General features: G+C 36.4%; 1 protein-coding gene across 57 annotated transcripts in view; it reads left to right on the top strand.

The window, feature by feature from the left end:
- STK33 (serine/threonine kinase 33) overlaps positions 1-23393 on the top strand; it is a 259405-nt gene that overhangs the window by 155373 nt on the left and 80639 nt on the right. For 54 of the 57 annotated variants that reach the window (XR_007062494.1, XR_001747939.2, XM_047427469.1 and 51 more), the window contains 2 exons: positions 2717-2829; positions 3277-3362. Coding sequence is in view for 55 of the 57 variants with exons in the window: in XM_047427469.1 (XP_047283425.1) it covers positions 2717-2829; positions 3277-3362 (199 nt within the window). In the remaining 2 variants the exon portion in view is untranslated. Of the gene's footprint in view, positions 1-2716; positions 2830-3276; positions 3363-4612; positions 6443-23393 lie in introns of those variants that run through there. The other 3 variants (NM_001352396.2, NM_001352397.2, NM_001352398.2) reach the window with 1 other exon arrangement.

The following is a 23393-nucleotide window of genomic DNA, read 5'->3' as shown; positions in this document are numbered from 1 at the left end:
ATCATAGTGCAAAAATTCTGAGCCTTAGTCTTTAATTCAAATATAACTTTTAAATTAGTCTTTTATACTCTGAAGACTTTCTAGAAACCATGAGTCAAACATCCTATATATAATCTAATATTATGCAATTCATGTAGTGTTTGCTGCCTTCTTAGTTTGAACTTGGTGTTAAGGAAAGTGAATGTATTATATCTTAAATATCTTTCTCTTTCTTAGAAATATAATTTTAATTTTTCTGCTTCAGAGTGTGACTGCATATCACCATAATAATGTTGTCTTCTCTTTACAGTAGACTCTTACTTAGCTAATCAGTGCCTATTCATTAATCTGTCTGAGCCCAATGGTGTTATAATTTCCTTAATCAAGAGCACAAACATATTACCTTCTCCAGGGGGTTTATTTTCTTGTTTATCCGTTACCTTTGATTCATTTCTATTTAATCAGATGGTGATAACATACTTTCTCAAGGTGAAGTTAGCATAAGTAAATATTCTTTGTAGTTTTTGTCCTCTGCTGTTTTGATTTCTATGAATGCAACAAAATAGTAGGAAGACTTTAAGAGATATTTTTCGTGTCTTGGATTCCCTTTTCTGGATGTGCAGGAAATTGCTGTCATAAAATTTTGTATGCTGCTGATTGACCAACCATTAGATACATTTTTATGTAAATAAAATTGCAAAGAACAGAAAAAAAAGTGAATTTTTTAAGATGTAGCCCTTAAGCTATAGTTGCATGCTAGTCAGGCAATGCAGAGGCAGCTAAGAAATTGGTGGATGTGCATATCACTGGTTGATAACAGGCTCAATGAACTAGGCCTTTGCTGGCCTGCACTGTTTTAATAGATAGTAATTGTCCAGAAGGCCATTTTTCTGGCTATTTTGTTTTCCATAGCTTTTTAAATTGCATTTTAAAACTAAACAATAGCAAGGTGAATAGGATGAGAGAGAGGAAATCAGAATGAGCTAGAGAGATAAAAAGTATTAAAATAAGAGTTTGCAGAACAATATGATACTGATAAATACTTAGTAAGAACCTATTGGTAAATGAAAAAGCTCTATTGTCTGGTCTAGTTTGATAAACCACTAGGATGAAAGCAACTTTTCCCCCCACAAAAGTCATCATAATCATCATCATTACTATGAAAAAATCAAATTTTGACTTATTCAGAAAATGTTCATGAGTTAGATTTTTAAATAAAGAAAAATATAAAGAAAATTAGTAAAAATGTAACTGTTAAAAGATGTAGAGATTATTATACTTATGTACAGTGTAGACCAGCAGTTTGGGAAGTATAATGAAATTATGCCATTTTATTCTTTCATCAATGAAGTATAAAAATATATTCCTGAGAGTTGAAGAATAGACACAGAGTTGCCCCTGTGATGAATCTAATTACATCTGTCTGGTTGTCATTGGACAAATCTGGTTGTTATCTATAGGATTGCCCTCAGATGTTGGAGTTGACAGTAATGAGGATGGCTGACATTTGTTGATATTGTGTTATGAAGAATTGAACTCAGCTTTTAAGCTTGTTCTTGTAGTTTTGACCTAGATCACTTATTGAAGTAATAGCTTTACAGGCTTGCCATGTTCTATTAAGAGTCTAAAGGTACATTGTTTCTGTATTAAAGAATGTGAAAACAAGTCCATGTTCACTTTATACACAGTGCTCATGGTTTTACTGATGTTGGTCATTAGGTACACTTAGCTTTCACCCTTTCAGGCCAAAGGGTCAAATTATTGTCTGATTTTTCCACATTCAGACCCTTTTGATTTCATATACAATTTTTGATGAGTTGTGTCCGTTTTAATGGCTTTTTGGCATTGACTTAGGTCCTATAGAAATTCCCAGGGTTAGGGCTGGGTGCGTTGACACATGCCTGTAATCCCAGCACTTTGGGAGGCCAAGGCAGGTGGATAACTTGATGTCAGAAGTTCGAGGCCAGCCTGGCCAACATGGTGAAACCCTGTCTGTACTAAAAATACAAAAACTAGCCAGGTGAGGTGGTGCGTGCCTGTAATCCCTGCTACTCGGGAGGCTGAGGCAGGAAAATGACTTGAATCCAGGAGGCGGAGGTTGCAGTGAGCCGAGATTGCACCACTGCATTCCAGCCTGGGAGACAGAGTGAGACTCCATCTCAAAAAATAAAAAGAAGAAATTCCCGGGGTTAGTCTTGGTTTATTTTTGTTATTACTAACATTTGTACAGTATTTTACTATGGATAAAAGCCTTAGGTGGCCATTAGACTTTGGTAACTAGTTAGACCCTGATAACTCATTGTATTTTTCAGTTGAGTCAATTTGCATTATGTTCCTTAAGGTATTACCTTCCTGTTGCTCACTCCAAAGTGTATCTCCTGTATTAGCTACCACTATTATTGTACACTTACACTCACCTTCCCGTATTTTAACCCCATTTAAGCTTAGTGTTTCCCCACCTGCAAGAGCTTTGGGTCATTTGCTGATCTGGAGGTTTCAGTGTATACTTGCATACTTCCTTTACCAGATCCTTCCTCTCAATGTTGAAATAAGAGCCTAGCACTGATCTTGGAAAACCCTGTTGTTTCCATTTTTACTTCCAGGGAGGTACCCATCTCTTCCCATCCTTTCCTTAAATATGAAGCAACACTACTTCCAAGTCCTATGGAAACTTAATTTTAATAGGCTTATTTTTATTATTTAAAAAATTTAAACAAAGTGATTGCCTTTGTTGCAGATTACGTGGAGAACCACCCTTTTTGGCAAGCTCAGAAGAGAAGCTTTTTGAGTTAATAAGAAAAGGAGAACTACATTTTGAAAATGCAGTCTGGAATTCCATAAGTGACTGTGGTAAGTATAGATGCGTTATTATTTACTAAAGCTAATATAAGTAACATAAGAAAGTTGGCCTGTGGTTAAAATGTTTTAAATCTCTGTTTAGTCATTAAATTTACTTGTGGAAATGAACACTATTTACTTGTGGAAATAGCGATATCTTCACTGTGATTGTTCATCATCAAAACTTTCAAAAACGGAAAATACATAGTAAAAGTTAAAGAGGAAATTTGCTGATCATCTAGCTAATGTTTACTATAGACCATTAAACTAGGTAATCCAGGCAATAAAACTTCACTTTAGGCTTTAAACTATATTTATTAGGCATTTATACTGATGATTTTTATTGTACACTTGGCATCTTTCTTTCCTGTTATACTGACCTAATCCTAAAAAATTGTAAAATGTATGCTATTAATTGTAGTTAAATAAGATTTTTCAGGATTTTTTTCTTATTTTTAGCTAAAAGTGTTTTGAAACAACTTATGAAAGTAGATCCTGCTCACAGAATCACAGCTAAGGAACTACTAGATAACCAGTGGTTAACAGTAAGTTACAATATTACTTTTTTCTTTCTGACATGCTACCATTGCTCATTTCTTTTTATTTTGTCTTGGAGTTTTCTTCATAGTCTTAAAACAGTCAATTAGTTTGATTTTCTGTCAAATTAAAAAACATTGAGTCTTGACAAATTTCTGAAAATGGGCATTTTCAAACTGTTAGAACTGTTGTCACAGTTGTTTATATATATTTATAGAGGTTTAAATGATCTTTGCTCAGTGTCATGAAAGTATCATGTCCAATAGAACAGAGCTGAAAAATGTCCAGTATTATAGCTGTGGAAAATTGAAACAGTCTGTATAGTTCAGTGATGTAAAACACTGGAACCACTCACCTCTCTTTCAACTCTTGGGGTGTAGAAAATCTTTGGGGACTCAGAAAAGCCATGATCTCCAAACAGTGGCAGTCTCCTGGTTTGGAATTTTATTTATTTACATATTGTTTTCTGCCATTAGACTAATGCTTCAAGCACAGACCTTGTGTCTTACTGATCTTCGTATCCCTGCACCCGAACATTACCTGGCCACAGCAGGAACTTTGGAAAAGGCTACTGCTTATCCCTCAGTATTTATTCTTCTCCTTCTATAATAATAAGGATTCTGACTGTTAGTTGGAAACATTGCTGTCCAGTTAAAAGGCTCTTCCCCAGTGTTCTTTGCTAGTTATCGTGATGGTCAGTGAGATGCAAGTCGAAGTGGGTGCAATTTCTGGGAAGTGTCCTTAAATGGATCTGATATGGCATTTCTCATGTCCTTCCTCTTTCCTGGTAGATGCAGGTGTGAGTTTGAGTAGCCATATTAGATTATAAAGTGGAATCTGGAAATGGCAGAGCAACAAGATGCAAGGAACCATAATAGCTCACAGAGCTGCCATGTGAATCCTTCACTGCCTACCTCCAGAATTTTTTATATGAACGGGAAACAGACTTCTGTCATCTTTACGATATAGTGTGCAGCTGGACCTAATTTCAATTAATACAATACTCAAACAATTGCTGAATGAGTGAATGATTCAGTAAGTGGATAGGTCTTTAGGTATCTCAGAAATTTTTCTGAGAACTGAGATTAGAAATTATTAGAGATATATGGGAATATTACTAGAGAGTATTCATCTATTAAAAATTATAAATCTATTATTTGCTATACACTGTGTTAGGTATTGGGGATACATGATATAATTACATTTAAAATATAAATTAGCATATGATAATATTCTTTTTTTTTTTTTTTTTTTTGAGACGGAGTCTCGCTCTGTCACCAGGCTGGAGTGCAGTGACACAATCTCGGCTCACTGCAACCTCTGCCTCCTGGGTTCAAGTCAACTGCAACCTCTGCCTCCTGGGTTCAAGTGATTCTCCTGCCTCAGCCTCCTGAGGGACTAAAGGCATGCACCACCATGCCCAGCAATTTTTTGTATTTTTAGTAGACACAGAATTTCACCATATTGGCCAGGATGGTCTCGATCTCTTGGCCTCATCATCTGCCCGGCTCGGCCTCCCAAAGTGCTGGGATTACAGGTGTGAGCCACCATGCCCGGCCGATAATATTCTTAAAAGATCACTCTGACTATTGGGGTGGGGGGGAGTGGCTTGGAAATAGGGAATTAGATAGATGTTGAAGTAGTACTGTTGAGAGATAATAGTGACTTGGATAGGGTGGTAGCAATAGCGATGAAGAGAAAAACCTGAGATATATTTTAGAGGTATAATTGATAGGAGTTGATGACGGATTCGATGAAGAATGAGGCTAAGAGAGGAAATAAGGGTGACATCTAGATTTTATTCTAACAACTGGTTGGATGTTGGTGCCATTTACTGAGATATGGAAGACTGTAGGAGAAATAGATTTATTTCTGGGACACGGATGGTGAATCAAAGGTTCTATATTAGATAGGATCAGTTTGCAATGCTTATGTGGCATCCAAGTGGTGATATCAAACAGATAATTGAATATATGAGTTTGAAACTGGAAAGATTTAAGATGAAGATATAAATTTGAGAATCATGAGTATACAAACACCACTTAAAGCCACTGGGCTGAAAAGATAAATAAGGAAGAAAATACAGATAGAGAGAAGAGGTCCCAGCAACATGTCTTTAGGCACTAAAACATTAAGAACCTCAGATAAATTTAGATACATAAATATATAGTGATATCACTCTCCTTTTAAATTATCTAATTTTCCTTTGGCAATTTCTAATCATTTCTTTGAATAACTTTTTTTTTCTTTAAGGGCTAAAAATAGTCTTCACCCAAGAATGAATTATGTTTGCCCTCTTCCATGAATGTGTTGCTCTCTCAAAGGATTCTGTGCAACAGTTATTTCTGGCCTAAAGTAATTGTGCAAATGAGTTAGCAGCTAGATCACTGCAGAACTATATTGAGTAGGTTTGTAGTACAGCAAAATAAACTGTAAAACAGATGGTGTGCCTTAGAAATTTATCTCTTTTCAGCATCACACAACATTCGGGTTGGGCCATTTAATTATTTGTTTTCTAATTAGCACATACTTTATTTCTGGCTTTGGTCATTTTTCTAGTAGTCTCCATTTTTGAGCCTCTGTAACATTTGTCTCTATGAAGTCTTTGCCAAATGGATAGAGAAGTGACAGATATTGTATACTATATTGGATTGTCCTAAGGAATTCAGTGGATGAAATTTAGAATACTGGCATTTTACAAACTTCTGAAAGGCAAAACTCTTCTTAACCACTTGAAGTCTTACTTTCTATGATTCATATCCCCTGTTTGAAGTAATCTAAAGAAAATATGTAGTTCTCTCAGCGCCCTGCTGCTTTACAACCAGAGCTTACCTTTTGTAATACCTAACACATAGTAACATTTTTCTATAAAGTTTCTATGGTTTAGCCTATGTACTGTGCATTTTGAAATGTGGTAAATATCTGAAAAGTATTCTAAGAAAAATAACTATTTCTCTTGTACATTTAAGGGAATGGAATTTCAAATAAACACATACATATTGTCATCCTGATTTAAAAAGTCAGTGGTTAGATGGAAGGAAAAATACCCAATAAATGACTTTCTTGCAAAGGAAGAGTTTGACTCTAATGGCCGGAGTATGCCGGTTCTTTTCTTTCATTCATTTCTTCCTTGTTTCCTTTTACTGTCAACTGTGGTTCAGGAGTTAATTGCTTCTTATTAGATAATTGCCTTGGTATTCCTTCAAGTCTCCTGGTGACAAATAACACCAAGAATTTACATTTTTAACAAGTTCCCCAGGTATTTCTTCTGCCCACTTATATTTAAAAGCCACTGCTATAAATTAAGGAAGTCAGTTTTTCTTTTATGTCTTGCCATAATGTAGTTTGAGCTTTAATGATATTCAAACATTAATTCCTTCAACACATTGTGTGTACACGCACGTGTGCCCCTACCAGGTACTAGGTGCTAGGTATAAAATATAGTTAAAGCCACGTAAGACGTGGTCTCTGACATAAGGAACTTACAATTTAGTAAGGAAAACAACCTATGTATAAGATTTAACGCAAGGAAGAAAATGATAAATGACTTAAGAAATTACAAAATGACCAGAGGTATGGAGGCAAGCAAGTATGAAGTCAGAAAGTTTAATTTGACTGGCAGATAAGAAGCTTGAAGGAAAGAAGTGAGAAATGAGACCAGAAAAGGAAAGAAAATTGTGAGACTAAGAAAAAAAAGAAAATCGTGAGTGGACTTGAACCAGGGTTACAATTTTAACTTCATTCCATAGGTAGTAAAGAAGAGTTGTATGCTCTTAAAGAAATTATTAATATTGTTAAAGTGCATCAGTCTTGCCAGGTGGCTTATTTTAAATAGGACATCAATCACTCAAATGTCTATATTGATTGTTGCAAGTATCATTTTATTTAATCCATCAGGTACTAGAGGGGTACAAAGATGAATAAAACGGTTCCTCTCCTTGAGTAATTAATTTACCACAAGTAAGTCTGTACTTTGCTTTATAGTCACAACCTTGCAAAAGCACTTTGTAATCAAGGTGTAGGGACTAATTTCAGAACGGTCTTTCCTAATGTATGAACAGGGCCTTTGTTCATTAATTTATGTATTGTTATTCGGGTTTTGATCATTGGCTTTTGACCTTTAGCTTTAACATATATACTCTATATAAGAGGATGGAAATTTTCTGATACCTAACTGTTGGCTGTTATTTTCTCCTTCTGTATATTTTCATCCTAAATATGTTAACTCTTACCTTTATTTTACTATATGTAGTTATTCATACATTCTGAATTATCTTATGTATATGAATATATTTTTGAGTCTCTAATGAAGCCTTCTATAAAAATTATGTTAAGGAGGCCGGGTGCGGTGGGTCACGCTTGTAATCCCAGCACTTTGGGAGGCCGAGGCAGGCGGATCACAAGGTCAGGAGTTTGCGATCAGCCTGGCCAATATGGTGAAACCCCATCTCTACTAAAAATACAAAAATTAGCCAGGCGTGGTGGCGGGTGCTGGTAGTCCCAGCTACTTGGGAGGCTGAGGCAGGAGAATTGCTTGAACCCAGGAGGTGGAGGTTGCAGTGAGCCAAGATCGCACCACTGCACTCCAACCTGGGTGACAGAGCAAGACTCCATCTCAAAAAAAAAAAAAAAAAATTATGTTAAGGAAAAGCTCATGAGCCAGGACACTTGGGGATTTACTCAGTATTCAATTATTGGTATATACTCAATAATTCAACAAATATTTATTGGATAGCTACTATGTGCTTTGGAGGACACAAGGATCAGTCTGGCATGGTCCCTGCCCACAGGTTGCCCACAGCCTAGTAGAGGGTTTAAAACAAAAACACGGGTAGAGAATGATAGATCAACAAGGATGTAAATGTACTACAACAACTACTACTAAATTTCCAAGAAGAGAGCTATTATTCTTTTAAGCAAGCTTATCCAACCCACAGCCCAGCACAAACTTGTAAACTTTCTTAAAACTTTATGAGATTTATTATTATTATTTTTCTTTTTTTTTGCTCTTCAGCTGTCATTAGTGTTAGTGTATTTTATGTGTGGCCTAAGACAATTCTTCTTCCAGTGTGGCCCAGGGAAGCGAAAAGATTGGAAACCCCTGCTTTAGGGGATTATAAAAATTACTTAAGGGTGGAGGTAATATGTGATCTGGCTTTTTAAAAAGTGGGTAAAAATAGAAATTCATGTAGGAGTCGGGGTAAGGAAGGTAAGAGAATTCTAGATAGAAATAACTTTTCAAAGGCATAAAGATAGAAAAAATATGAAGTATATTCAGAGAATAATTTGTAGTTCCTTTTTTTCTATAACCATAGAAGGCATACAGGAGAGTAGTGGGAAATTATGTTGAAAAGGAAGGTTAGAGCTATTTTGTTCTAGACCCTAAGAGTTTACATTTGATTCATTTGGCAATGACTTACTACTGAAAGGCACTCAAGTGCCATGATTGCTGCTGTGCTTGTGTGAGTTTTCTCTTTTGTCCCTCTCACCCTTGGAGCGTTATGTGAGTGGACTTGGATGAGGTCTGTGGGCTAGAGATAGTGACTAGATTCTGAGGGAAGAACTCGAATGTAGTATCTTGCCTGAGATAGTCTGAATCTCAGTTGAATCTAGGAAGAGCCCTAGGAATAAATTGGAGTTGAAGGTCTTGAGGGAGCAGGTGGTGGCTAAAGGGTGGAAGCAGGGTCTTAACGAGGAGGTGAACCAAGAGTCAGGAGTTAAATAGAAACAAGATGAGTATTGGAACAGGCTGGGAACAAGTAGCCAAGTGTTTGAGACTCTATCAGTTAGTGAGTTGGTGGATGCATTGTTTGCCAGGACAGACGGAACTTCAGTAAGAGTTATCTGGCAACAGTGTGTGATATGGTTGTCGTGGTGGCAAGCAGAAACCGGAGAACTGAAGTAGGACTGGGGTAAGATAACGAAGACTGAAACTAGGGCAGTGAGTGGGAACAGAGAAGAGGGGAGAAAGAAGACCTGAGAAAGAAAACATAATTTTGTAACTAAGTAGAAGTGTGAGGTAAGAGAGTAAGAGCAATCAAAACTGCTTCTTAGGTGACTAGGAAAATGGTGTGAGACAAAATTAAAGTCTAGAAGTGCTGGTTTTGTAGATTGGAACAAGAATGAAGTGTTTTTGGAACAATCTGTTCAAACTTTTATGCTTGAATGATAACAAAAAAGAATTTTGAAAAATGACGAGTCTTCTCAGATATTTTTAGGTTGAACTTTAAAAATTTTCACCATAAATGTAATTAATTGCAAGGGGTATAATTTATCATATAAACATTTGTAATTAAAAATAAAGCTAATATCAGTTTTTTACCCATATGGGACATCCATCTCATTCACTTTTAGATATTTATGAACAAGTTCTTCTTTAACAGAAACTAGGTTATTCATTCTTCTCTTTGAATTTGTGTCTCTATTTTTCTATTCTACTTCTTCCACAGAATTTTATCCTAATGTAATATTTTTGCTTGAATGGATTTTATTAATCACCTATAATTTGTCTCATTTTACAAAAAAAGTTCAAATTTATATTTAAATTTTTTTTTATTTCCTGGGACTCTAAGGCTCTATAATTTCTAAAAATTATTTAAGAATGACTTTTCATTATGATTATTATCAGTAGTATATAATTGATCAAGAGAACATGATTATAATTTTTTAGAATTACTAAACATAACAGTATCATATTGGAAATGCTTTAGTGGATGGATAGGGCTGCTTTCCCTCCCAATTAATTCATTCATACACGATTGAATATTTCTATTGTTAGAATGAGACAATATTCAGCAATGTTGTATTGTTTTTAGTTTTAATAGACACTGAGAACCTTATATAAATAAGTGGATAGGAACGGAAGGAGTTTTGACATAGTAGTGTCATGCAGTTCATCACAGCTGTTTGAGTTACGTTTCAAGACCACTCAGTGAAGGGCCTGCTGGAGGAGACTCTGGTTCCTGCCAAGATACTGTGTCTTCTCTGAAGATTAAACCTAAAGTAACTTTAGAGAGAAACCTCATGATACCAGGATTCAGAGAAGAGTGAGAAATCCCTGGGAAAATAAAGGGATAGCTTGAGCTGGTATGGATAGTGGGTGAGGCTGCAGCCAAGGCAGGGAATTAAAATAGAAACACAAAACAACCCGGTTTTTCCTTTTTCCTCTTGTCATTTGCTTTGGGACACCAGTGCTTACATATCCCTTCACAAGGGTCTGAAGTAATAAAGTCGGAGCAGCACTGAAGCCGTGCCTGAATGAGAAGCCAAGGAAAATGTGTGGGAATTAACTCGTTGTAGGCATTGACTTCTTACCTCTTGGCCTCCAAACTCTAGGACTCCTGGCTGATACTTTTGGTGTACTTTAGGAGTACCTCCTCCTCAGATTATTTCTCCTGGCGGGAGGAGGTGGGTAAGTGTGAAACCCTGAACTGAGGAGTTGCTTAGTGGGGCAGGTTTTTGGTGTCTAAGGTTCTTCCCCATACTCTTCCTTGATCTCCCAAGGCCAAGGGCCAGGACTGGCTCTAGATCCATGCCTTGTCTTCTGGGGTGCCAATGCTTCCTGGGAAACAGGAGCTTAGGGGCCAAGTTTCAAACACCATTAGAAGAGAGTTTAGAATACACAGTCCTAGAATTTAAAAATTAACAAAGTGAACATACTAAGAGAGATAAGGGAAGATGTTGATAATATGAAGCAAGAATAAGAAATAAAAACAGAACCAAGTAGGTATGAAAAATATAATAGTTGAAATATAGAATGCAGTGATATAGGATACATAGTAGATACAACTAAAGAATGAATTTTAAAACTAGATGATCAGATTGTAGAACTTTATACAGAAGGGAGCAGGAGAGGATAAATAAGTTGAAAATATAAAAGAAAAGATATATGGGGTTAAAAGTAAAAGTGCCAAAATCCATCTAATAGGAGTCTCAGATTACAAAAATAAAAAGGGGGAGGAGGAAATCGTTTAAGAAATAATGGGGATAAATTCATCAGAATTAAAGAAAGACCTTAGCTTTAAAGAGATGATAGACTACCCAATAAGAGAGAAGAAAAAAACTGACAAATAGACGTAATGAAATTTTAAAACATCAATAAGAAAAATTCTAAAAGCTCCCAGAGAGAATGAGCAGATCATATAAAAAAGAACAAGAATCACATTGACATCCTACTTTTCAGCAGCAACATTGGATGCAAGAATAACTGGAGTAATATGTTAACTGTATTAAGGGAAAAAGAACTTTAAAGTTAAAATGTTATATCTATTCAAATTGTTATTCATATTAAAGGGAATGATTAAGATATTTTCAAATATACAAGAGCTCAGAGGGTTTGCCACAGGAGTTAAAACACATGGTAGAAGTACTTACAGAGGAGGAAAAACAAATCCAGGAGATGCCACAAGAGCCATGTGCAGCAAGAGTCTTTAAATGTCTTGGTAGAGTTCGCTGATATCAAAAAATACAAAAACAAAACACAAAACCAAAGAAGAGAAAACATAATCATGATAACCCAGAATTAAAATTCATGATAATATCCACATGAGGAGCACTGGGAAGGGGGCAAGGGCATGGGAGCAGCACATGAAAGTGTGCTAAAGGAGAATATGGAGGCATCAGATTTTTAAAGTAGGAAGGAATGAAAAACATATAAAGAGTGGGAGAAACTGAAATAACAATGATATGGAAGGGGGCAGAGACTGAAAATTAATGATATCTAACTTAACATTCCAGAATTTTAACAGAGTAAACCCAAATAAAGTAGTAGGAAAGATAAAACTAAGAGTGAAAATCAACTAAATAGAACTCAAAGGTAAAATAGAAAAGATCGACAAGGTCAGTATTTGGTTCTTTGAAAAAAACACAAAATAAATACATCTTTGGAAAAATTAAGACAGAAATAGAGAAAACAGGCTGGGCATGGTGGCTCACGCCTATAATCCCAGCACTTTGGGAGGCCAAGGTAGGTAGAGGAGGGCATAGTCCCTGGCTAGGGCTCCACCCCCAGGCATGTGCCCACAGACCTAGGTGAGGACAGGCATTTCTGTTTTCCTGCCTAAATGTTGCATTTTCCAAGACCACCCCTGCCTGACATGCCCCCATCCTGGGCCTGTAAAAAACCCGAGACCCTAGCAGGCAGACGCACAAGCAGCTGGACATTGAGAGTCACTCCGCGGCATAGGGCCAGCAGGCCTGCAAGCCATCCACCGGCAGAACAATACGGAGTTTGGCTGGGGCAGTTGGAGGAGAGCCCAGGCTGCTGAGCTGCCTGACTCCAGGGGAAAACCACCTTCCCACTCCATCTCCCTTCTGGCTCCCCATCCATCTGCTGAGAACCTCCACTCAATAAAACCTTGGACTCATTCTCCAAGCCCGCGTGTGATCAGATTCTTCCAGTACACCAAGGCTAGAAACCCTGGGATACAGAAAGCCCTCTGTCCTTGTGATGAGGCAGGGGGTCTAATTGAGCTGACTAACACAAGCCACCTATGGATGGGTAAACTAAAAGAACACCCTGTAACACACACCCACTGGGGCTTCAGGAGCTGTAAACATTCACCTCCAGATGCTGCCCTGGTGTTGGAACCCCACATGTGCCCATCTGCATCCTCCCTCTAGAGGTTTGAGCCGCGGGACACAGAAGAAGCGAGCCACACCCCCCACTGCATGCCCTGCCAAGGGGATGAGGGAACTTTTCCCTTTTCAAAAACAGGCTTAGATAGGAGAAACAAGTCCAAATACAGAAATAATTACAAGTACATTGGTTTAAAATACCTGTTTAAAGGTATATTGTCTAATTGAATTTTTTAAAAATCTAGCTCTCTACTATTTATAAGAAGCATATTTGAAGCAGAAAGACATGGAAATATTGAAACACAAAAATGGAAAAGGACATATCAGGCAAACACTAACAAAGAAAACCTGTATAATGGAATTAATACCAATTAAATATACCTTAACACCTACCAATGACTTTCTTCACAGAATTGGAAAAAACTACTTTAAAGTTCATATGAAACCAAAAAACAGCCCACATTGCCAAGTCAGCCCTAAGCCAAAAGAATAAAGCTGGAGGCATCACGCTACCTGACTTCAAACTATACTACAAGGCTACAGTAACCAAAACAGCATGGTACTGGTAGCAAAACAGAGATGTAGACCACTGGAACAGAACAGAGCCCTCAGAAGTAATGCCACATATCTACAACTATCTGATCTTTGACAAACCTGACAAAAACAAGAAATGGGGAAACGATTCCCTATTTAATAAATGGTGCTGGGAAAACCTGCTAGCCATATGTAGAAAGCTGAAACTGGATCCCTTCCTTACACCTTATACAAAAATTAATTCAAGATGGATTAAAGACTTAAATGTTAGACCTAAAACCATAAAAACCCTAGAAGAAAACCTAGGCAATACCATTCAGGACATAGGCATGGGCAAGGACTTCATGTCTAAAACACCAAAAGCAATGGCAACAAAAGCCAAAATTGACAAATGGGATCTAATTAAACTGAAGAGCTTCTGGGCAGCAAAAGAAACTACCCTCAGAGTGAACAGGCAACCTACAGAATGGGAGAAAATTTTTGCAATCTACTCATCTGACAAAGGGCTAATATCCAGAATCTATAATGAACTCAAACAAATTTACAAGAAAAAAACAACCCCATCAAAAAGTGGGCAAAGGATATGAACGGACACTTCTCAAAAGAAGACATTTATGCAGCCAAAAGACACGTGAAAAAATGCTCATCATCACTGGCCATCAGAGAAATGTGAATCAAAACCACAATGAGATACCATCTCACACCAGTTAGAATGGCGATCATTAAAAAGTCAGGAAACAACAGGTGCTGGAGAGGATGTGGAGAAATAGGAACACTTTTACACTGTTGGTGGGACTGTAAACTAGTTCAACCATTGTGGAAGTCAGTGTGATGATTCCTCAGGGATCTAGAATTAGAATTACCATTTGACCCAGCAATCCCATTACTGGGTATATACCCAAAGGATTATAAATCATGCTGCTATAAAGACACATGCACACGTATGTTTATTGTGGCACTATTCACAATAGCAAAGACTTGGAACCAACCCAGATGTCCAACAATGATAGACTGGATTAAGAAAATGAGGTACATATACACCATGGAATACTATGCAGCCATAAAAAATGATGAGTTCATGTCCTTTGTAGGGACATGGATGAAGCTGGAAACCATCATTCTCAGCAAACTATCGCAAGGACAAAAAGCCAAACACCGCATGTTCTCACTCATAGGTGGGAACTGAACAATGAGAACACTAGGACACAGGAAGGGGAACATCACACACCGGGGCCTGTTGTGGGGTTGGGGGAGGGGGGAGGGATAGCATTAGGAGATATGCCTAATGTTAAATGATGAGTTAATGGGTGCAGCACACCAACATGGCACATGTATACATATGTAACAAACCTGCACAATGTGCACATGTACCCTAAAACTTAAAGTATAATAAAAATATATATATACCTTAACACAAACAAATCATCATTAAGGGATAGAGAAGGTCACTTTATAAGGATTAAAGATTCAACTCAAAAAGATTATATAGTAATTTTAATAATGTATGCAACTAATAAAATAACCTTAAATATATATCAAAAATTGACAACATTGCATGGAGAAATTGGCAAATCCATTATAGTAGGAGATTGTAATGCACTTCTCTCAACTACTGATATATGAAACAAAGAAACAAAAATATATGGATGATTTTAATAATATGACAAGCTTATTCTAGTAGACACATACACAGTTCTCTAATTAGAGAATGTACATGTTCTCAAGCACATGTGGAATATTTACCAAAATTGGTCTTGTCCTAGGCCGTGAAGCAAGGAAGCCTTAATAAAGTTAACACAGATCATGTTCTCTAATAATACGCAGTTAAAAGCCAGTAAACAACAAGATTAAATATCTGCATATACCTGGAAAATAAATCACATGCTTCTAAACAACTCATAAGTTAAAGAATAAACCCCAATAAGAAAAAATTTAAATTCCTAGAACTGAGTGATAATGAAAATACAACATACCAAAACTTGGAGGATACAGCAAACATGTACTTCAGTAGAAGTTTAATATTTATATTAGAGAAGGAGAAATACAGAAAATTAATGATATCTAAAAATTTCAGAATTTTAACAGAGTAAAACCAAATAAAGTAGTAGGAAAGATCAAACTAAGAGCGAAAATCAACTAAATAGAACACAAAGGTAGAATAGAAAAGATCAACAAGGTCAATATTTGGTTCTTTGAAAAAAAAACAAAATAAATAAATCTTTGGTGAAATTAAGAAAGAAACAGAAAACAGGCTGGGCATGGTGGCTCATGGCTATAATCCTAGCACTTTGGGAGGCCAAGGCGGGTGGATTGCTTGAGTCCAGGAGTTTGAGACAAGCCTGGACAACATAGTGAGACCCTGTCCCTACAAAAAATTTAAAAAATCAGCCGGGCATGGTGGCCCATGCCCGGCTGAGTTTTAGTAGTAGTCCCAGCTACTCGAAAGGCTGAGGTGGGAGGATTACCTGAGTCTAGGAGAGCGGAGGCTGCAGTGACTCGTGATTGCATTACTGCACTCCAGCCTGGGTGACAATGTGAGACCCTGTCTCAAGAAAAAAAAGAGAGAGAGAAAAAAAATCTTACATATGGAAAAGGGAATATAGCCGTAGATAAAGGAGAGATTACAAAGATAAGAGAATACTACTAGGTAATACTACTAGGTGTATGCAAATACGTCTGCAAACTCAGTCAAAATGAAAACAATTCTTTTCCTAGAAAAATATAGTTATACAAGACAGTCTTAATAAATAGAAAACTTGAACTGTCTTGTAATAATTAAATAAATTGAAGCAATAGTTCAAAATCTTCTACAAGCAAAACACCAGGCCCAAATAATTTTAGAGTTCTACCATACTTTCATCTTAAACTTATAACTCTTCTTCTACCCCTCAAAAGAGAAAAATTTTCCTAATTTATCCTAAGACTATACCTTCTAAACTGCAGGATACAAAACTATACCACGACATTGTGACAAAGGAAAACTATCCATTTCACTTACTAATATAGATATAAAACCTTAGACATACTATTAGCAAGTTGGATGTAGCTGTTTATATTAACAGATAATATATCTTGGCCAACTTGAGTATCCCCAACAATACAATGATGAATTAATTTCAGAATCTGTAAGTATAAATCCCCACATTAATATATTAAAGGAAAAAATCATATGATCATTTCAGAGAAATCATTTGTAATAAGACTCAACATGTATTCATGATTAAAAAGAAAAGAAAACTTCCTTAACCTGATAAAATGTTGCAGAAAATGTCATTCTGAATAGGAAATGCGAGAAGGATTTCCTTTAAAATAGAGAATAGTCAAGAAAGTCAGCTTTTTTTTCTTCCAACATTGCTGATCTTAGTCAACTGAAGACTAAAGTGAGACTTGAAAAACAGAAATAAGATTTATTATTTATAGTAATCTACAAATAAGTTATTAGAAATAGGAGAGCTGAGAAAGGTAGCTGGATTTAAGATTAATATACAAAAGTCAATTGCACTTCTACTCATTAGCAACTAACAATAGAAAATGTAATAAAAATGAAGACATCATGTAAAATAGTAGCAAAGAATATAAAACATCTAGTAATAAACATGACATAAGATTTATAAGACCTCCTTGGGGAAAGTTAGAACATTTTATTGAAAAACATTGAAGAATACATAAATATAAAGATATATCACAATCATGTGTCAGGAGACTTAATATCAAAAATTAATTTTTCCCGTATTGATATACATATTCAGTGCAAATACAATCAAAATTTCACAAACTTTCCTGGCTATAAAATTTATGTGGAAGACTAAAGGATCAAAAATAGCCAAGAAATTTCTGAATGTCTTGCTCTACCGGATATTAAGACTTATAAAGCTATGTTAATTAGGGCAGTATGATTATTGACAAACAGAATAAAACAGAGTACAGAAACATATCCAGGTGTATCTGGAACTTTTTCTGACAGTCGTCGTATGGAAGATGAGAGGGGAGAAAGGAGGGACTATTCAATAAATGGAGCTGGAATCAAGAGTTCTCCATATGGAAAAAGTAAAGTTAAATTTCTATTTCACACCACAGACAAAAATCAACTCCAAAGGAATCAGGGACTTATAGTAAAAACCAAAATGTTGAAACTCTAAGTGGAAATATAGGTGAATATATTCTGCATCTTGGGGTGTGTAGGAAAGGATTTCATAAGCAACATAACCAAAGGCACTAACATAAAAGAAATGATGGATTAGCTTGTCTATGTTAAGAACTCTTGTTAATAAAACAACACCAGAAGGAAAGCTGATAAGTTATAAACTGAGAAAAGGCTTTTGTACTGGAAATAAGCAAAAAAGGAATAATATTATGAAAGTTAAAACAACTAAAACAAAAAATATTCCCCCCCTCCCCTTTTTTTTTTTCAGACAGGGCCTTGCTCTGTTACCCAGGCTGGCATGCCCACTTCAGCCTCTAACTCCTGGGCTCAAGTGATCCTTCTGCCTCAGCCTCCTGGGTAGCTGAGACTACCGGCATGCACCACCATGTCCAGCTAATTAAAAAAATTATTTTTGTAAAGTAGGGGTATCCCTATGTTGCCCAGGCTGGTCTCGAACTCCTGAGCTCAAGTGATCCTCTGGCCTCATCCTCCCAAAGTGCTGGGATTACAAGCTTGAACCACCTCACCTGGTCAATATTCCTTTTTGAATACACATGGTTGTGATAAAAAATATATACAAAACAAAAGCAAGGGAATGTTAATCACAAGATTCTGGATAGCAGTCACCTCAGGTGATAGAAGGCAGGAAGACAAGAAGGAGGAAAACTAGGTGTATGGATGCAAGTTATTGTTTGTTTTCTAGTTTTCTTGTTTTGTAGTTGCGTGGTTTAGAATACACTGAGTAGAAGGCTCAGCTATACCTCTCACTAGAAATTCTTGGCAGGCAATTCGAAATGCACTTCTGGAATAAGGGTAAATTCATTAATTTCTCAAACCGTTTTCTCCTGAAGAATAGGAATATTAATAAAAAAGCCTTATCTACTCACATAGTTACTATACTTGTGGAAAAAAATCACTGAGGTGATTTTGTTAGGAAAAACATGAAAGTGGTACACAGTTGACTACTTTACTTATTATCTTGATATTCTGCTGCCTTGGACTCTGAAACACTTCAGGACATGTTTGGTGATTTTTTGGGTGCTTTCAGTCCTCTTTGGGTATCTAAAACTTACATCATGTCTTTTCTTACTATAATTTACATTGATTATTAGTCATGTAAAGGTAAAAGGTAATAGTCGAGGCTGGGCACGGTGGCTCACACCTGTAATCTCAGCACTTTGGGAGGCTGAGGCAGGAGGATCACTTGAATCTAGGAGTTCAACACCAGCTTAGGCAACATAGTGAGACTCCTCTACAACAACAAAAATAATAATAAAATAAATTAAGGTAATAATTGAGATTATCCATGGTTAAGTGAGTAAACAAAATGGGAAAAATAACTTGCTTTCTCCTCTCATTCTCTCATTCCCTCTCACTAAAGATAACCATCATTAAGTCTTTTATGTATGCTTTCAAAAAACATTCCATACATTTTTATGTAGATACTTTACACAAATGGGTTCATATTATGCAACTATTTTCACTTAATATATAGGGAAGATTTTCTTAAAAAAAACGGAAAAGCATTACATGCTCATGGATCGGAAGAATCAATATCATTAAAATGACCATACTGCCCAAAGCAGTTTACAGATTCACTGCTATGCCTATCAAATTACCAGTGACATTCTTTGCAGAACTAGAAAAATCTATTTTAAAATTCATATGGAACCAAAAGAGAGTCCAAATAGCCAAAGCAATCCGAAGCAAAAAGAACAAAGCTGGAGGCATCATGCTACCCAACTTCAAACTATACTACAGGGCTACAGTAACCAAAACAACATGGTATGGGTACAAGAACAGACACATAGACCAATGGAACAGAATAGAGAGCCCAGAAATAAGACCTCACATCTGTGACCATCTGAACTTCAACAAAGCTGACAAAACCAAGCAGTGGGGAAAGGACTTTCTATTCGATAAATGGTGCTGGGATAACTGGCTAGCCATATGCAGAAGATTAAAACTGGACCCCTTTCTTACACCATATACAAAAATGAGGTCAAGATGGACTAAATACTTAAATGTAAAATGCAAAACTGTAAAAACTCTGGAAGACAATCTAGGCAACACCATTCTGGACATAGGTACCGGCAAAGATTTCATGAGGAAGACGCCAAAAGCAATCACAACAAAAGCAAAAAATGACAAGTGGTATGTAATTAAACTAAAGAGCTTCTGTACAGTACAAGAAACTATCAACAAACAGCCCACAGAATGGGAGAAAATATTTGCAAACTATGCATCTAACAAAGGTCTAATACCCAGTGTCTAAAAGGAAATTAAATTCACGAGAAAAAAAAACAACCTCATTAAAAAGTGGGCAAAGGACATGAACAGATGACGCTTTTCAAGATGGGGCATATATGCAGCCAACAAGCATACGAAAAAAGCTCAAGATCACTGATTATTAGAGAAATTCAAATCAAGACCACAGTGAGATACCATCTCACACCAGTCAGAATGGCTATTACTAAAAAGTAAAAAAATAACAAATGCTGGTGAGGTTGTGGAGAAAAGGGAACACTTACACACTGTTGCGTGGAGTGTAAATTATTAATAGTTCAACCATTGTGGGAAGCAGTGTGGCGATTCCTCAGAGAGCTAAAAACAGAACTACCATTTATCTCAGCAATCCCATTACTGGGTATATACCCAGAGGAATATAAATCAGTCTGCCATAAACACATATGCACATGAATGTTAACTGCAGCACTATTCACAATAGCAAAGAGATGGAATCAGTCTAAATGCCTATAAATGACAGATTGGATAAAGAAAATGTACATATACACCATGGAATTCTATGCAGCCATAAAAAAGAATAAGATCATGTCTTTTGCGGGAACATGGCTGGAACTAGAGGCTGTTATCTTTAGCAAACTAACGTGGGAACAGAAAACCAAATAGCACATGTTCTCACTTAGAAGGGGAGCTAAATGATGAAAACTCATGGACACAAAGAGGGGAACAACAGACACTGGGACTACTTGAGGGTGGGAGGAGGGAGAGGACCAGAAAAAAATAACTATTGGATAGTAGGCTTAGTAACTAGGTGACAAAATAATCTGTCCAACGAACCCCTGTGACACGAGTTTACCTATATAAGAAACCTGCTCAGGTACCCCTGGACCTAAAAAAAGTTAAAAATTAAAAAAAAAATGAAAAGCCAGCATTATATCCCAAACTATAAACTATTTTGTAAATAGTCCCTGTGAATATTTAAATTGTTTCAGATCTTTTCTATTACATCAGTAGTACAACAGATGTTCTTGTAAATATGTGTTTGCATACTGTGCCAGTTTATATAAGATAAATTTTAACAGTGGACTTACTGGTCAGAGAGAATGTGCATTTTACATTTTGATCAAGTATTGCTAATTTACCTTCTCATAAAAAGCAAGTAAGTGAGAGTGCTTGTTCCTCCACACCCTCACCGACACAGGGAATATCAAACTTAAATTTTTGTCTATCTATTAGGTGAAAATTGACACCACATTGTTTTGACTTGAATTTTATTTTTTGAAGTTGGCCATTCTTTTATATGTTTTTAAATAAAGTGTTCCATTTTTCTACTGAAAAAATTTACTCCTAGGAACTTTACAAAATAAAGTCTTCTAGCTCTTTGCAAAAACAGAGAATGGTGACTGCATGCTAAAGATCCAGAATGTTTCCTTTAGCTTCGCCGATTTGGACTCATACCATCTCACCCCAGCTCATATGTATTATTCATTCATTTATTTTAAAGAGCTTATTAAGTGCTTACTGTTTACAAAGCACTGATAGGCACTATCTCTTAAAAGGCAGTATTTTTTAGATGAGGAAATGTGATTGGGTCTCCATTATGGGGCCTGTCTACTAAGGGATTAAATTCAAATCTTAGTATTTAAGCAGTTCTTCTCTTCCATGAGTTTCATTTTTCTAGTTGTTCGATATTAAATTAATAGTCTCAACTATCTGTTGGTTAAGCAAGTGGAAATTTATTTATCCAAAAGGCTGGTCTCTACCTGTGATAGCTTCAGATGATCAAACTATTGCTACTGCTTTCTTGTCATTTGTTATTTTGTAATTGATGAGTTCAGTATTTGATCACCTAGATGCAGCCAGTAAAAGGAGTTCAGAGGTTAGTGTTCTGATGGTGAGGTGACATGTACATCTACAGTGTCTGCCCTAACAGTTCTGCCCCAGTTTTGTTTGGTTGCTTCATTTGTAATTTCTGTTGAACTAGAAGGCTCATGATACATTGTTGTGGACCACTTATTATTGGTTAGTCCAAGTATCTGATACAATTTATCCTTCAGCTGCTAGCAAGCAAGAAGTAGGTGGTATAGTAAGTTATCCAGATGCACATTAGACAACAGGCAAAGCCTGGACTCTATACCACCTAGTCCAGGCTTGATATCACAAGTGAGTATAGGAGGCAAAGAGCTAAAAATTTCCACATAGGAAATAGGGATAATACTCTTATTCTGGATCCTTTGCTTTTCTCCACAGTCTCTATAGAATGAGAAGTAGGGTCATTTCTTCAAGTACTAAGGCACTCTCCTTTAGACATGTAGAATCTCAGCTACCAAGCTCTTGGGTGTATGTGTATGTGAACCAGGCATTTGAAAGATTGCTAGAGATGCAGATTCAAAATAATGTAGGCAATCCTTGCTTTGTACAGTAGTGTGGGACAGTAAAATAGCAGAGCAGTATGAAACTGTGAAAAAATGATCTCAATAATCAATGTGAAAAGTTATGATTGTTTCATGCCCTTTACCTTTTTGTCAAAATCTTAATAACTCTCTGTTGGTTATAAATATGTAGGGAAATGAGACAAAAGTAAAGCTGATGTTCATTTAGTACACTGTAATTTAGAATGTTAGAAATACTGAGAATTAAAGTGTCTTTTTAAATAAAATACTTAAGATTCATTTAAATAGTGCTTACCTTCTTCTTACCATATAACTTATAAGACAGAGGGAGCATCTTTTTTATGCCTTGGCAAATACTCTGTTGAACGGTGGTAGTGTCAGCATTCCCAGTCAGCAATTTCTTCTGTTACTCCATTCGTATTTTATTCAGTTTTCACTTTCGGCATTATCACTTTTATTTTCTTTGCTGCACTTTCATCTTTGTTGGCTAATTCCCTGGGAGAAAAGGAGGCAACACAAATACACACTTTGCTGTCTATGTGTGAACTGAATAGCAGATGCCTAATGTCTAATCACCAACAGCCTTTGAGAGAAGTGACAAAATTGGTCACTGATCATGATATGCGTTTGTGTGCCTTGTGGACTGAAGAGCTAGCAGTGCAGTTTGAACTTTATGCAGTTATAGTTCATATACCATGTTGACTGAAATTTAAACTGCTCTTGGGGGACTAATGCTGTTTAAGTAAATTATAACTGAAATTCAGGCATATCAGGACTGTGCAGCGCAAGAACTGCCTAAATAAATGAGCTGTCACATCATATTGGTTGCATATGAGTTCTGTAGTAATTATAATTTTGTTGGACCTGATGGTTTTACAATAAAGTCACTCTTTTTAAGGCTTCTTAGAGGTGATTTACAGAATGTAAATGTTTGCTTTGGTATCTATATCAAGGTAAGCTAGATTATGCTTGGGTGATGACAAATGACACCCAAATCTCAGTGCTCTTAGTACCTTCCATGACCAATTGGCTGGGAGGAGAGGAGGAGGTTCTGTTTCACTTTGTCCTTACTCAGGAACCCAGGCTGAGGGAGACTCCATCTCTATGCTTCTGTAATTACCAGTTCAGGAATTGGAAACATGATGAAT

Source organism: Homo sapiens, chromosome 11 (genome assembly GCF_000001405.40).
Source record: "Homo sapiens chromosome 11, GRCh38.p14 Primary Assembly".
Taxonomy (NCBI): domain Eukaryota; kingdom Metazoa; phylum Chordata; class Mammalia; order Primates; family Hominidae; genus Homo; species Homo sapiens.
Note: the sequence above shows the minus strand (reverse complement) of the source record. Positions and strands in the feature narration are given on the sequence as shown.